We start from the raw sequence: 15594 nt of genomic DNA on the forward strand, positions 1-15594 counted from the left end.
AGGTTTTTGTATGGACATAAGCTTTCATTTCTCTCCTGTACACACATAGGAGTGGGGTTGCTGGGTCCAATGGTAGTGCAGTTTAACTGCATAAGAGACCGCCAGCTTCTTCTGCAAAGTAGCTGTGCATTTTGCATTCCCACCCTCTGTGTATGACAGCTCTAGCTGATCTCCATCCTTGCCAGCACTTGATATTGTTAGTTTTCTTTAGTTCGGCCATTCATGCTTCCTCATAACTGTGAGGTAGTCATTGTCATTCTGTAAAGGAAAGTTTGTCTCTTTGGAATAGCAGTTTGCAAACTCTCATACCAAGGCTTCCACTGTGGATCAGTTTGCTCTGCTAGGAAGGTGCGGCCGGTGGCCCTCACTCTCCCCACAGGCACATTCCCCTCTCCCTCCTTGCAGCCCCTTCTGTCCTTGGGGGTGGAGAGGAGGAACTTCTGCTGGCCACATTCTCCCCTGCATCTGTAGCTTTTCTGCACTGGGCAGGGCGGTGCCGGCACGCCGTGTTCCTGCATGCCCCTCCATTGCGTCAGGGATGGCCGTTTGCAGAATAGCTCATCTTCTCCCTCCGTGCCTTTTCCCCCTTAGGCCTACATACAGATCACTTTTGTGGAGCCCTACTTTGATGAGTATGAGATGAAAGACAGGGTCACATACTTTGAGAAGAATTTCAACCTCCGGAGGTTCATGTACACCACCCCGTTCACCCTGGAGGGGCGGCCTCGGGGAGAGCTGCATGAGCAGTACAGAAGGAACACAGTCCTGACCACTATGCACGCCTTCCCCTACATCAAGACCAGGATCAGCGTCATCCAGAAGGAGGAGGTAATGCACCCAAGGGATTGGCCACCACTGGATGAGTGGGCTGGGTGGCCTCCCAGGAGGACCCACAAACCTCTTTCACAGTGGATTGGACTGAAAACAAGGAGGGATGCACTTGAAATATGATTATATGGTTGTCCTTTCACTCTCATAGTGCCAGAAAATCCCATTTAGGCAGCTACATATTTTATAGCACTATTGTATATTAAATATTTAATATTTTAAAGTTATATCTTTAGTATAAGTGTGTTTATGTATTTAATTATAATATTTAATATATATTTCAATTATAAACTTGTACAACAGATATATTTACCTTTTAAATATTTTATATAAAATTTTTCTATATTTCAAAGCTTAGAGGTGATTCAAGCATAGTCGTGCTGTTAATTATTGGAGACGGGACCTGCACGTGGGCAGCCCCAGTGAGGCGGTGGTGTGCTGTGGGAAAGGGCCGTGTAAGGTAGACAAGTTCACTGACTAGCTTCTAGTCCTAGCTTCCTCCTGTGATTTTAAACAAGCTACGTACCTTCAGTTTCTTCATCTATGCATTAGCAGGAAAGACCTCTAAGTACAGTACAAGATTATACTCATTTTATTAATAAAAGGACTGGTCAAGAAGGTCTCTCAAACCACAGAATTGTTCAAAATTCTACACACCATAAACAACTTATTATTCTTTAAAACACATATATATACACTTATTTGTCGTCCTTTTTATGCAGGGCCACAGACTTCTCTGTGACTGTGGGTTTGCTGATCACAATTCAGCATTTTCTTTTATAAACCACACCCGTAGTGCTTTGTCCATGATTTTCAGTTTTGCTTTGTGTAAGCAGAGTGAGAGCTTAAAGATCCTTGTTAAACAATTTGAGAGCAGAAGCCTTCTGGATGTTTATGATGTTTTTCTCCCCGAGACTTTGACAGCAGTCTTGTGCACACCTAATATGACAGGAATTTTTATAGCAACTCACTTTCATAATATCTTGTCCAACCATTTGGCTTGGTTTTCATAGAAAGAAATCTTTTTCTTTCCACACCCATGGTTCATCAGTTTCTCCATTATCTAATTAGATTGGGTCATTAAAATAACAAGTATAACAGGCATAATCAAGTTGGTGAACAAACACAGATGAATTGTGGTGAATATATACCTCATCAGGCAGAAGCAGAAATAGCTGAGCTAACTGGAGAGTCATCCAGCAGGTAGTGTTCAGCTGGGTAACCACATCAGGGTGTGGCTTTCACAGAAGCTGAAGAAAGCCTGAAGCAGTGACTCAGTCGGGAGGAGGTGGGTTTAGAAGCCATCTGCTGTACTTCCTATACTTCTTGGTTTGGACTTTTGAACACTGAGACATTCTAGGCATAACACAGATATAAACTCATGGTGCCCAAAAGCATTTCAAAACCTTTTCTTTTCTTCATTCCTGCCTTCCTTTCCTTTCCTTCCTTTCCTTTCGTTCTTCCTTTTTTTCTGTGTCTCTGTCTCTCTTTCTCTCTTTTTCATTTTTGAGACAGGATCTTCCTCTGTTGCCCTAGAGTGCAGTGGCATGAACATGGCTCACTGCAGCCTCGACCTCCTGGGCTCGAGCAATTTTCCTACCTCAGCCTCCTGTGTAGCTGGGACTACAGGCTTGTGCCACCATGCCCAGCTAATTAAAAATACAGAGAGATATATATTTTGTAAGAGACAGGGGTCTTACTTTGTTGCCCAGTCTGGTCTCAAACTGTTGGCCTCAAACGATCCTCCTACCTCAGCCTCCCAAGGTGCTGGGATTACAAGTGTGAGCCACTGCACCAGCCTGAAGTTTTCTTGGCCTTCCTTCGTTCCCCAACAACCTCAACAACAGTTCTCAGCTGTTTGCTAGGGCTGTAGAACAAAGTTCCATAGACTGGGTGGCTTAAACAACTGAAATTTACTGTCTGCACAATTCTAGAGGCTAGAAGTTTGAAATCAAGGTGCCAGCACTGTTGGTGCCTTCTGAGGGCTGTGAGGAAAGGGTCTGTTCCAGGCCTCTCTCCCTGACCTGTGGACAGCCCTCTTCTCCCTGTGTCTCTTCACATCATCTTCCCTCTGTGTTCGTGTCCAGATTTCCTCTTCTCGTAAGGACACCAGTCATATTGGACTAGGGCTTACCCTGCTGGCCTCATTTTAACTTGATTGCCTCTGTAAAGACCCTATCTCCAAAGAAGGTCACATTCTGAGGTACTGAAGGTTAGGACTTCGACATATACATTTTGGGGGAACACAATTCAACCTATAAAATTCAGAAAAGACTCTACCCCAAACCAGCAGAACTTAGCAAATAGATTGATTGACCCTTAAAAGAATTCCATTTACTGGAAATTCACCCTCAGTTGGAGAAGGCACAGGTGATATCAAAAGCCTGTGTTATGATGGGGGAGAAAATCTTGAGTGCTGTGCTTCTACTACAGCTTTCTGCATTGTAAGTTGAGTAACATGAGGCTGTGTGCGGTGGCTCTTGCCTGTAATCCCAGCACTTTGGGAGGCCGAGGCAGGGGGATTGCCTAAGGTTGGGAGTTTGAGACCAGCCTGGCCAACATAGAGAAACCGCATCTCTACTAAAAATACAAAATTATCTGGGTGTGGTGGTGCATGCCTGTAATCCCAGCTACTTGGGAGGCTGAGGCAGGAGAATTGCTTGAACCCGGGAGGCGGAGATTGCAGTGAGCCAAGATCATGCCATTGCACTCCAGCCTAGACAACAAGAGCAAAACTCCATCTCAAATAAATAAATAAATAAATAAGTAAGTTGAGTAACTTGCTCAGTAATAGGAAAAGGCACCTGACAGGGTAGAAAAAACATGGACTTTGAAGATAGACATACTTGTGATCGAATTATGACCTCCTCCCTTACTACCTGTGGCATTCTGTGGAACTTAACCTTACAAATCCCCCTTTGACTGTAAAATGGAGAGTATAAAGAGGTTGTTGAGAGGAATAAATGCTAAATGTATGTAAAGTTCCTGGAACATAAGGAATCAAGAAATGTTAGGCCCATCTTTCTTTTTAACCTGTTAAGAGTATTTTAAATTACTCTGAAAGTCTTTCCCTAGCTGCCTCTTCAAATTCAGGTGGCCTCTCTGTCATAGCTCCAGGCTTGTCCATAGCTTATGAGACCAGACAGTGACTTCCCTATGTTTACGTCTCATGTTCAGTTTGTTTTGACACCGATTGAAGTTGCCATTGAAGACATGAAGAAGAAGACCCTGCAGTTAGCAGTTGCCATTAACCAGGAGCCGCCTGATGCAAAGATGCTTCAGATGGTGCTGCAAGGCTCTGTGGGAGCTACTGTAAATCAGGTAAGCAAAACCAGAGGTGGCAGCTCCTCTGGTTCTTATTATTTAGGTTGTCATTATACGTCTGCACCCTTCTTCCTTGGGGTTGATGAGGACTTTGATCCATAGACAAACACAGAAATGTTCCTACACTTAACCTGAACACCTGTAAGGTTTAGAAGACTTTTAGGAAACCTCTTCCCTTTCATGTAACAACCCCAGGTAAAAAAGAAATCCTAGAGATGAGTGGACCAGGCTTTAAGGAGTACCACTTTCTCAGAGGAGTCTCCACTTCGGGGCCAGACCTGACAATATGATGCAAATCTGGAGTCATGTTGAAGAATGCTTAGTCATGACCAATTCACGCAGAGTAATTGCAGGGCTTGAGACTCACCTACAAATGCCTATAGGAGAGAAGGAAAAGGATCTAGAACATCCAACTCTTGGCTCAGTCAGCAGATGAACCCAGCATGCCAAGGACCTTGACAACCAGGAATGACCTGGGACCTGACTTCTTAGGCTACTTCAGACAAGACTAGATCTTCCTATCAGACTTCTTAGAACGCTGACTCCCAAGTTCAGCATGGTGCTCAAGCAGTCTCAGATGAAGGGAGGTACCAGCCTAATACCTCTGTCCAGTGGGCCTCCTTAATTCAAATCTAGATCTGTTCTTGTCCACACTTCCACGGCAGTTATTCAGTGAGCATCATGAGTCTTTTCTCATTCAGCGTAATTGGATTTCCCCACAAAAGTTCTGAGTGTACTTGACATCAAGGGAGCAGAAACAGAGAAGAGAAATGCCTATTACATTCCCAAGATCAGGAAAAAAAAATGAGGAAACGTTTGCCTTTGTAAGTGCCAATCCTTTGATAAAATGGAAGACTTTCCAAGCCCACAACCATGGTCTATCTGTACACGATGGATATCTCTGACTCAATCCAGCAGTTATGCAAAATGATGTTTGCCATGAAGGCAACTAGATAAGTGAACAAAAATGAATAGATCAAGGCAATCCTGATTTTTAGAAAAGCAACTCAAAGCACATACCATTTGATGTAGTTGTATTACACTTATATATGAATGAAAATCTATTATTAGTAGTATTTGATTGATAAAATAATATTCGGCGCCAGGCTCAGTGGCTCATGCCTATAATCCCAGCACTGTGGGAGGCCGAGGTGGGTGAATCACTTGAGGTCAGGAGTTTCAGACCAGCCTGGCCAACATGGTGAAACCCCATCTCTGCTAAAAATACAAAAATTAGCCAGTGTGGTGGCAGGCGCTTGTAGTCCCAGTACTTGGGAGGCTGAGGCAGGAGAATCCCTTGAACCCGGGAGGTGGAGGTTGTAGTGAGCTGAGATTATGCCACTGCGCTCCAGCCTGAGTGACAGAGTAAGACTCTGTCTCAAAAACAACAATAAAAAAGAAAATAAATTTGGGCTGTGTATGGTGCGCACGCCTGTAATCCCAGCAATTTGGGAGGCTGAGGTGGGTGGATCCCTTGAGGCCAGGAGTTCAAGACCAGCCTGGGCAATGTGGCAAAATCCCATCACTACAAAAAAATACAAAAATAGCCAGGTATAGTGGCACACACCTGTAGTCTCAGCTACTTGGGAGGCTGACATGGGAGGATCACTTGAGCCTGGGAAGTGGAGGCTGCAGTGAGCAGAGATCATGCCACTGCTCTCTAGCCTGGGTGATAGAGCGAGACCCTGTCTAAAAAACAAAAACAAAACACACACACACAGGGAAAATACATTTATACTTCTGAGTGTTCCTCTAAAACTTCAGATTCCTCCTAAGAAATCAAAATTTCCTGAGATGTCCAAGACCTTCCTTATTTTTTTTTGTTTATTTCAAACCAACTACAAAATTAAATGTTCAAACTAAGAAGTCACTCCAATATTTTCTCCCAAGCAATTTAATTTCCTTCATATATGTATGAATATATTCATATATATGTGTGTGTATATATATATACATATATATGCATATACATATACATATGCATATACATATATATGTATGTGTATATATATATGTGTGTGTGTGTATATATATATATATATATATATTTTTTTTTTTTTTTTTTTTTTTTTCCCACCAGGGACCACTGGAAGTAGCCCAAGTGTTTTTGGCTGAAATTCCTGCTGATCCAAAACTCTATCGACATCACAACAAGTTGAGGTTATGCTTTAAGGAATTCATCATGAGGTAAGAAGGAAAATGGCTGGGAATTTCAGTAGAGCAGTGGTTCTCAAAGTGCAATCTTAGACCAGCAGCTTCAGCATCACCTGAGAACTTGCTAGAAAGACAAAGTCTCAGGCACCCTCCAGACCTGCTGAATTGGAATCTCTGGAGGTGTGGCTCAGCAATGTGCAGTTTAACCCGCCCTCCAGGTGATCCTGATGCACACTGAAGTTTGAGGACCACTGCAGCAGAGCAACACTACTTGAACTACTAATGAGTAACTAACACGTCAACTATGAAACGCTTTTGTGGCTAGCATCCCGTGTGCCTCACAATCACTTGTTGTAAAACAAGTATCATCATCTTCCTCATTTTACAAAAGAGGAATCAGAGGTTCAGAGAGAGGAGATAATTTTACTTAAGGTCACACAGACAGTTGGCAGCAGAGATGAGCTCAAACCAGGTCTTCTGAATCCAAATAGTCCACATGTCCATCAATGTGCTGATATTCCACTGATGCACTAGAGTCCCAGAGGTTCTTTGCATTGGCAGTCATTGTAATGTTACAAATCTTATAATATCTTATTTTTAGAAACTTAAAAACATACACTGCCTCAAATTGAGAGAGGCAAGTTCTAAAACCAGGCTTTTCAAAGGTATTATCCTGTGACAGTTCCCCATGTCAGACAAGTCTCATCTCTGTTCCTTAATTCTGCAGTGGAGCTGGCTTCAAGAGCAGTCAGTTAGGAACTGGGTCTTTGGTCAAAGCCTTGTAATTTATTGCAATACAGACAGATATATTGGGTCTCCTATGGTCCTAAAAATATGAGTATGAAGGATGTGATGGCATTTCACCTATAAGAGAAAAGGACTTCAGAAAAATGTGTAGCAATATTTCTTTCTATTCAAAACCTTAGAGAAGAATATTAAGTATAAGAATATCTTCACTTGGCAGATGGGGATAAAGGAGACTAAAAGTTTGCTAAATTCAGTGAAAACTCATCAAAATGCTAGCATTTGTGAGGTTAGAGATATCTCCTCCTTCACAGGCTTTTGCGAGAGGTCCGCAATTTTGCTGCATATACAGGAGACACACTGTGCCCTGCAGTGAATCACAGCCGCTTGGTAATAGGATGTTTGTGTGGCTTTGCGTGTTTGTATTTGTGCATGTGTGTGAACATACTCACAGATTATCTTGATTAATGTTTTGATATTTGAATTGTTTCCTGTATTTGACAACAATTCTGACAGAAAAACTAGTTGTTGTTGTTGTTTTTTCAGTACATAATACGTATCTTTTAAAAGGCTAGAAAAATATTTGGGGAATTATTTTATTATTTTATTTTATTTTGAGACAAGGTCTCACTCTGTTGCCCAGGCTGGAGTACAGTGGCATAATCTCAGCTCACTGCAACCTCCACTTCCCAGGCTCAAGAGATTCTCCTCCCTGAGCCTCCCAAGTAGCTGGGACTACAGACGTGTGCCACCACATCTGGCTAATTTTTGTATTTTTGGTAGAAATGGGGTTTCACCATGTTGGCCAGGCTGATCTTGAACTCCTGACCTCAAATGATCCACCTGCCTTGGTCTCCCAAAGTGCTGGGATTACAGGCATATACCACCGTGCCCGGCCCTATTTTTTATTTTTTGTGGAGACAGGGTCTCACTATGCCGTCTAGGCTGGTCTTGAATTCCTGGGCTCAGAGATTGGGGGCTTAAAAAAATTTTTTTTCATATATTTTTATTTAAAATTCATTATGGTTGAATGCTTCCAAAGTTGACTATGCCCCAGGACCTCTAAAAGGACCTATGAAATGTTTGAAGAGCACTCACTATATTCCAGGCATGATATTAGTTATGGGACTACAGAGATCTGGCTTGTTCCTCTGTTCTTAATGACAGGACATAGCCCTGCATGGCTGAATAATAGAATGCAGCATATGCACAGAACTTTAAGAATGACTAACTACAGGACTATAAAGATCAGAAAAGAGAAATCAGTTTCAGGCTGGAGCATTTGTGGGAGGCGTTATGGAAAAACACCACTTAAATCTTGTCTTGACTATATACGTGGAAGAAAGGCGCTAGTGGGGAAGAGGGAGCCAGGACAGTGGCCCTGCCTGATCCAAGGTATCACTTTCAGCTGCTTTAGTTACCCATGGTTTGAAAGTATTACTTACAATATGATATTCAGAGAGAGAGAGAGAGACCACATTCACATAACTTTTATTTCAGTATATTGCTGTAATTGTTGTTAATCTCTTACTCTATCTAATTTGTAAATTAAGCTTTATCATAGGTATGTATGTATAGGAAAAAAACATAATATATGTAGGGTTCGGTACCATCCGCAGTTTCAGGCATCCCCTGGGGGTCTTGGAACCTATCCCCGAGAATGAGGAGGACTGAGTACCACTGAGTGGACCAGCAGGACCACGAGACTCTGTCAGGAATGCCTGTGATGCACCGGGTTCCTCTAAGTCCAGCTGGAGCAGCGTGTTCTCATGAGCATGCTAGGACAAGGAGGAAAGATTGGAAATATGATAATATCAGTAAATGAGGCTCTGAATACAATTTAAATGTTTAAGAAAACTTGTCAGGAGAGTGATTTTCATTTACTTCAGTTTGCCTCAATTTTTTCTACTAGTTATAAATCTTGCAATCCAGTATCTCACGGGTATGATCCTTTCCATGACACCACCTAGGTAAAATGTACTTACAAAATCCCTACTAAACATGCGTTTCTCATTAGCTCCCAGCCCCAGGAAAAGTTACTCCAAAAAGAACCAGTGCCCAGTAAAACTAGTCCCAGGCAAGAGATACAAGAGGAAATGGACTTTCCTAGGGGTCGCTCCTTTAACAAAGTCATTAGAGTTTCAATAATGAGGCTATCATTCTCCCCAGATGGCCTACAGAAATGTTGGATTTTCAAAATCAAATTCACCATTTTAAAGTTGTTCTCCTACCCTTTTAATGGTGATTCCACATGGGAACCAGTCCCACCTTTCTCCCCACTGGCTGGGCTGCTGCATTGTTCTAGGAGGCCAGGAGACTGTCCATGCTTCCCAGACTTCACTGTTCTTACACGTCACCTGAGGATTTGTCAAAATGCAGATTTTGGCCTGATGCAGTGGCTCCGCCTCTAATCCCAGCACTTTGGGAGGCTGAGGTGGAAGGACTGCTTGAGCCCAGGAGTTCAGGACCAGCCTGGGCAACATGGCGAAACTCTGTCTCTTTAAAAAAATACAAAAAAATACAAAAATTTAGCCAAGCGTGGTAGTGGTGTGTGCCTGTAGTCCCAGCTACTCGAGAGGCTGAGGTGCGAGGATAGCTTGAGCCCGAGGAGGTCAAGGCTGCAATGAGCCATGATCGTGCCACTGCACTCCAGCCTGGGTGACAGAGAAAGACCCTGTCTCAAAAAAAGAAAAAGAAAAATGCAGATTCTGATTCAGTAGGTCTGGGGTTGGTCCTGAAGCACTGCATTTCTAACAGGCCCCCAGGTGATGCTGCTGCTGCTACACTGGACCAAACTTTGAGTGGAGAGCCTGCAAAGATTGCTTAATTTCCTCCCTTTCACATTTCTCCCTATTACCTCTCCCTCCTTCCCTGAGGGCTTAATCTCTTAGGCCATCCTTATCATCATTTACCACTTTTGCCGTCTGCTTCCTCCCAAAAAATAAATAAATAAATAAATAATAAAATAAAATTTTAATGGCAAAAAAAGAAGTTGTAAATCTCAATAAAATTATGTGAGAACAAAAAAAAAAGCAAACATGCTCAAACTGCTGCACCTTGAACCAACTATAGACGTCAGTTCATCCATTCATTCAGCAGTTATTGAGCTCCTACTTTGTGCCAGGCACTGTGCTACATATGTGGAAGGATGAAGTCCCAATATCAGTAGGACAAGGCTACAGACAAAACAGTACTGCTGCTCATTATTCATCTCTATGTGCAAACACAACAGATGGCCTGCCCTCCACTTCATTCTACAGAGATCAGAAGTCGTGGGTGAGAGTGTGCTGATGGTGCACAACTGTGTAAATTACTAAAACTCATCAAACTCTAAACATAAAATGGGTGAATGTTACGGTATGTAAATCATACCCTGAATACAGATAGTAGATGAGGTTCCTCTGTTGCTTAATTGCTTCTCAAGTCCAATCTGGAAGTTACAGCTTTTAATGAATAGAGTAACTATTTTTTCACGTTGTTTGTGCTGTGTATTTTCTCCTCCACTCTGCTAACAGACAGCAGAGGTGACGCAGAAGTGGAAAATATTTGGGGCTTGAACAGCTCTCAGGTTTCCCCTTTAGTAAGCTCCAGCTTCTCAGCAGACTTGGGCTGTAGATCGATAAGCCCAGATTTCCAAGGTGACCATAAATGAGTCTCTGTTGCTGAGAGCTAATAGCGGAAACATTTGCTTGCCAGGTCCACTGCGTCTAGTGCCACCACGGGGCAGCGACCTTTCTGACTCAGCTGTAGTGGAAGCAGAAACAGCCATAAAGAATCCTGGCAGCCTGATTTGCTGCAGCCAGTACTCATCCAGCCAGTCCTGCAACTCTTCAAACTGTTACCAAGCTGGGACCTCAATCAGCTTCTGTCTTTTCCTGCAATAATAAAAAACATCTCGGGTTCAGAAGCCAAGACAAGAAGATAGAGAGATACAATCTTCTATCTTCCTCTTCTGCTCCCCCAAACACCCCGACCATTTAGATTTTTAAATTTTCTTCTTTATACTTATCTGGACTTTCTCATTCTTATAAAGACTAAGTGATGTTAAATTTGTTTTTAATTTAAATAAAAGATAGTAGTACTCACTGGCACCAGTTACAGCTTGCCTTTAAGAGAAGTAGTTTCAGATACACCCTGAAAGGGTTCTGCAGCATATATGTGGTCATAGGCTCAGAAAACAGGCTGTTGAGTGGTGGCGTTTTTAAACTGGAGTTGGGGTCTATGAAGAGGAAGGAGAAGGAATTTGTCCGAGTAGCCAAAGGACAACCAAATGTGTAGAGTGTAGGTGGAAAAAGAAGCAGTAGTTTTAACTTGAGACCAAGGCCATATGCCTGGCTTATAGCTGGAAATGGGGAAATGGCTTTCCTAGGCAGTATATGTGGCGTTGGGGTTGGGAATATGGGCACTCAAGCCAGATTGCCTGAGTTCAGATCCCATTCTGCCTCAACTAGATGTGTGACCCTGAGAAGTTACCTACCCTCGGTTTCCCCAGATGTAAAATCGGAATAATAATTGTACCTCTCCCTTGCAGTTAGTGACAGAATAAAATGAGTTAATACATGGAACTTAGAATAAGACTTCATACATACTAAGGGATCAGTAAGTGTAACATTGTTCAGTGGGGCAAATAGGGGACTGATGGATTTGAGTGGGAAATAGAGAATTAATCTGACTTAAATACGGAGATTGTCTATCCATGATTTGTCTGTCTCTATAAAGTTTGAATCATAAGACACAGTGATGCTGATGAGACATTGGCCTGGGAGCAGCAGGATTCTGGGTTTATATCCAGCTGTGCTGTCCCACAGGTATGTGACTGGACAGGGCACTTCACCTCTTTGCATGTTAGTTTCATCAACTATGAAATAAAGAGACTAGAATACAGCATCTCTAATAGTTTATCATTCTCATATTGTACAAATAGTTCATTTACTTAGCCTGGGTCTGTCAGGCATAATAACGCTACCATGTGCTCTGGCTTCAGCTGTGTGCAGGGACTCTTCTGAACATTTGATATGTTTCAACTAATTTAATCTTTACATTAATTTATGAGGTAGGCTCTTATCACCCACACATCACAGATGAAGAAACTATGACATGAAGAGGTTAAGTAGCTTGTTTAAGGTTGCAAAGCCAGTAAGCAGCAAAGCGGGATTCAGAGTTGAGCACTCTGGCTCCAGAGTCCATCCTCTTAATTGCCATGCTGAGCTGTTCCCTCTAGTGACTATATTCAGTTGCTAGTAACAGAAGGAAGAGTAGCTTAAATAAGAAATTTATTTTTCTCTCACATTAAATAAGATTGGAGGTAGTCGATGTAGAGCTGTGTAGTGGCCTCATAAAGTCATCAGAGACCCTGGTTCTTTTCCAATCCTTTGCCATGCCATCCTGGTTCTAGTGTACCCATTCTCGTGGTCATGATATGGTTGCTAGGGCTCCAGCCATCATGACCACATCTAGGCAAGTCAGGAGTAGAAATGAGGAAACAGCAAAAAGATGTGCCCATTTCCCAGTGCCTTCACCTATATTATCAGCGATCCCTACCTGCATGGGAGGCTAGGAAGTGTAAGTTTTCAGGTGGTCACACTGCCTGGAGTTCTGCCAGTAGGGAAGAAAGAATGGATATTGAGAAAACAACTAACGAATGTTTGTCTGCCACACTGAGGAACCCATGTATGGGCTGTGCTGAAAAAGGGGGGCCAAGGCTGGGTACAGTGGCTACGCCTGTAATCCCAGTACTTTGGGAGGCTGAGGTGGGCGGATCACTTGAGCTCACAAGTTCGAGACCAGCCTGGGCAACATGGCAAAACCTCGTCTTTACAAAAAATACAAAAAAAATTAACCGGGTGTAGTGGCGTGCCTGTAGTTCCAACTGCTCGGGAAGCTGAGGTGGGAGGATCACTTGAGCCCAGGAGGCAGAGGTTGCAGTGAGCTGAGATCATGCCACTGCCTTCCACCCTGCATGACAGAATGAGATCCTCTCTCTAAAAATAGAGGGGGTACCAAGAGATGCAGGGGGGGTGAGGGCAGCATGACTACTCTCTCTGTAGGAGACCTTAACTCTATAAATGGAGGCCCCAAAATGTTACTGCCATCAAAAGCCAGGAATCCTTTTCTGGAGGCGTAACTTCCTGCCCTTTCTAATCCCTATCAATCTGGTTTCTGTAGAACTGTGACTGCTAGAAAACCCCAGGCATATTTGTTCTAAGAAAATACTTGTGTTCGGTGAATTTACCAACAAAGGGAGCATCAGAGGATGTGAGGGAAGTCTGGAATGGTTGTATCACTAAGTGAGAGCAGCACAGATGTTTGTGGACCTATTGAGAATGTTACAGATAAGACCATTTTTGAAAAGTTGTTTGCAGTGTCATTTTATGATCTTGTGTACATTTTCCAAGCGATGTGGCTATTCTCTAGGAGGGATAGTAGAAATTATTTCAATTTTAATCAAATAACCTAGAGAATATAACCCAAATGACTGAAAGGAAGAAATGTAGAAAAAGTATATAAAATAATTTTTTGCATTATAAAAGTTTAAAGACATAAAGTAATATTACTACATAAAATCTAAGTTTTTTACTCCAGCTATTAATATGTTTTTCTTTATAAAACATCACATTTATTAATTGCTGTGTAACAAACTACCTCACAATTTAGTGGCTTAAAAGAAAATTTAATTATTATGCATGTGGTACATAATAATTTTTGCTTTCCTCATTTCTACTCCTGATACTTGCCTATGATGTGGTCATGATGGCTGGGGCCCTAGCGAGGTGTATTGTGGCCATGAGAATGGTTTTGCTGCAACTTGGGGTTGGCTGGGCTCAGCTAAGCAGTTTTTGCCTGGAGTCTCTCAGTTGCACTGAGACAGTGACTAGGACTTGAATTACCTGAATGCTTCCTCACTCATGTCTGGTGTCTGGGCTGAGAATACTCAAACAGCAGGGGCTCCTCCTCTCTCTAACTCTCCTTCTCTCCACATGGTCTCTCCTGCATGACAGCTTTAGGGTAACTAGACTTGTCACAGGATGGTTCAGAACTCTTATAGTACAGAACGAGAGAGAGACAGAGGCCATATTACCTTTTATTAGCCAGTCACACAGTACCACCTCCACCACATCCTATTCAGTGTGGCTGTCACAAAGAACCATCCACCTCTTGATGGGGGCATGGGCAAGGTTCTAGGAGAGCACATTCTTGTGGCCATTTTCAGAAATACAATCTGCTACACTCCAGAAGCATCTGTTTGCCTTATTATCATAGCTTCTGATTTAATTCTCCCAGCAACCCTAGGAGATTATATGAGCTTATTATCCCCATTTTCCAGAGAAAATTGAAGATTTTTATGGTTAAGTCATCCTGCTAATGAGTAGCAGCTTGTTTCAACCGCAGTTGTCTGCATATAACACATTTAACTCAGTCAAGGGCACATGGTGAGCAATCAGAAGGTGTTAGCTAGCTGCTGCTACTTCTGCAAACAAAGACTAAGGAGAGTTTAGCTGATTTTACCAAAGTTGTCCGAGTAGACTTCCCCAAATTAGCTGTTAGCTTTGGCAGGACTCATCCCACCTCCTGTAGCCTGCCAATGTTATAAACTTGGGCCTTGAAGTCATCCTGAAACTGATCTTATTTTACACATGGTGGTAATTGTAACTGTTAGTTAAGAAGCAATAAAAAAATAATAAGGGGTGATATAGATTTCTCAGGATTCAAAGGCCATATGCCTTCCCTTCTATTTCTTCCCTAAAACCGTTAATTCATAACCTTAGCTATCCTATAATTTGCTTCAATTAATGACAAACATAAAAGATAGGTGAAAATCCAGTTAAGGGAGTTCTTTCAGATTCTGTGTGAGTTAAATCAAGTCCTTCTTCTATAGCAGGCTAATTCCATGATGAAGCTGTGGTGCTAAGTTTATTTTTGCCTAGGCAGGTAGCTCTTCCTTGCCACATGCTATCCTCTTCCTCTTTGACTGTCATCCTGAAAATGTGTTCAGTGTTAAGAGGATTTGATAACAATGTCTGGGTATCTCCATAACTTAGTCCAAATCTGGTACCACTGTTAGGAAAATAATGTAAGCCATATTGATCACCCACGTCTTATTCATTTGAAGGATAATATAGTTATTACTAATTATTGCGTGTTAGGTAACATACAGCCATTATTCTGTCCCTTTAAGGTTTATTGATTTGTAAGTTCCCTTGGGTAGAAGAGTACAAAACAAAAGGCAAAACTTCATCATGTTTAAATAACGTGATTTTCTTCTTTGGTGTGTACCGTACCGTGCAGGAGACAGGGAAAACACCAGGTTTAACGGTCCACAAGCCAGATAACCATGATGAGTTCTAAAGATTTTCTCTGTCTTTAATGTTCTTCAGTTTTGTCATGAGAAGACTGGATATAGCTCTGTTGTTGTTCATTAGAGGATTTATATCTCTCTTCAACTCTAGAAAATTACCAGCTGTTATCTCTTTAAATATTGTCTCCCTCTCATTTTCCATTCCCTTGGAGATTCTATTAGATGTGGGTTGGATCTTCCTTATATCT

The 15594-nt window shown here is 42.2% G+C and overlaps 1 protein-coding gene and 1 long non-coding RNA gene across 19 annotated transcripts in view; one reads left to right on the forward strand and one right to left on the reverse strand.

The window, feature by feature from the left end:
* The window catches only part of DOCK8 (dedicator of cytokinesis 8), a 253999-nt gene that overhangs the window by 234522 nt on the left and 3883 nt on the right, over nucleotides 1-15594 (forward strand). For all 17 annotated transcript variants that reach the window (XM_017015173.2, XM_047423927.1, XM_011518045.4 and 14 more), the window contains 3 exons: nucleotides 592-828; nucleotides 4006-4149; nucleotides 6233-6339. In XM_017015173.2, the coding sequence (XP_016870662.1) occupies nucleotides 592-828; nucleotides 4006-4149; nucleotides 6233-6339 (488 nt within the window). The remainder of the gene's footprint in view (nucleotides 1-591; nucleotides 829-4005; nucleotides 4150-6232; nucleotides 6340-15594) is intronic.
* On the reverse strand, nucleotides 8526-14170 carry LOC124902108 (uncharacterized). 2 transcript variants are annotated; one of them, XR_007061389.1, is made up of 3 exons: nucleotides 13938-14170; nucleotides 10423-11269; nucleotides 8526-8828 (listed from the first exon to the last, which is right to left on the reverse strand). It is a non-coding gene; the product is annotated as an uncharacterized LOC124902108 (long non-coding RNA). The 2 variants fall into 2 exon arrangements; XR_007061390.1 differs by lacking the exon at nucleotides 13938-14170 and having other exon boundaries at nucleotides 10423-11322.

The sequence above is a fragment of the Homo sapiens genome, chromosome 9 (assembly GCF_000001405.40).
Source record: "Homo sapiens chromosome 9, GRCh38.p14 Primary Assembly".
In the NCBI taxonomy this organism is placed as follows: Eukaryota; Metazoa; Chordata; class Mammalia; order Primates; family Hominidae; genus Homo; species Homo sapiens.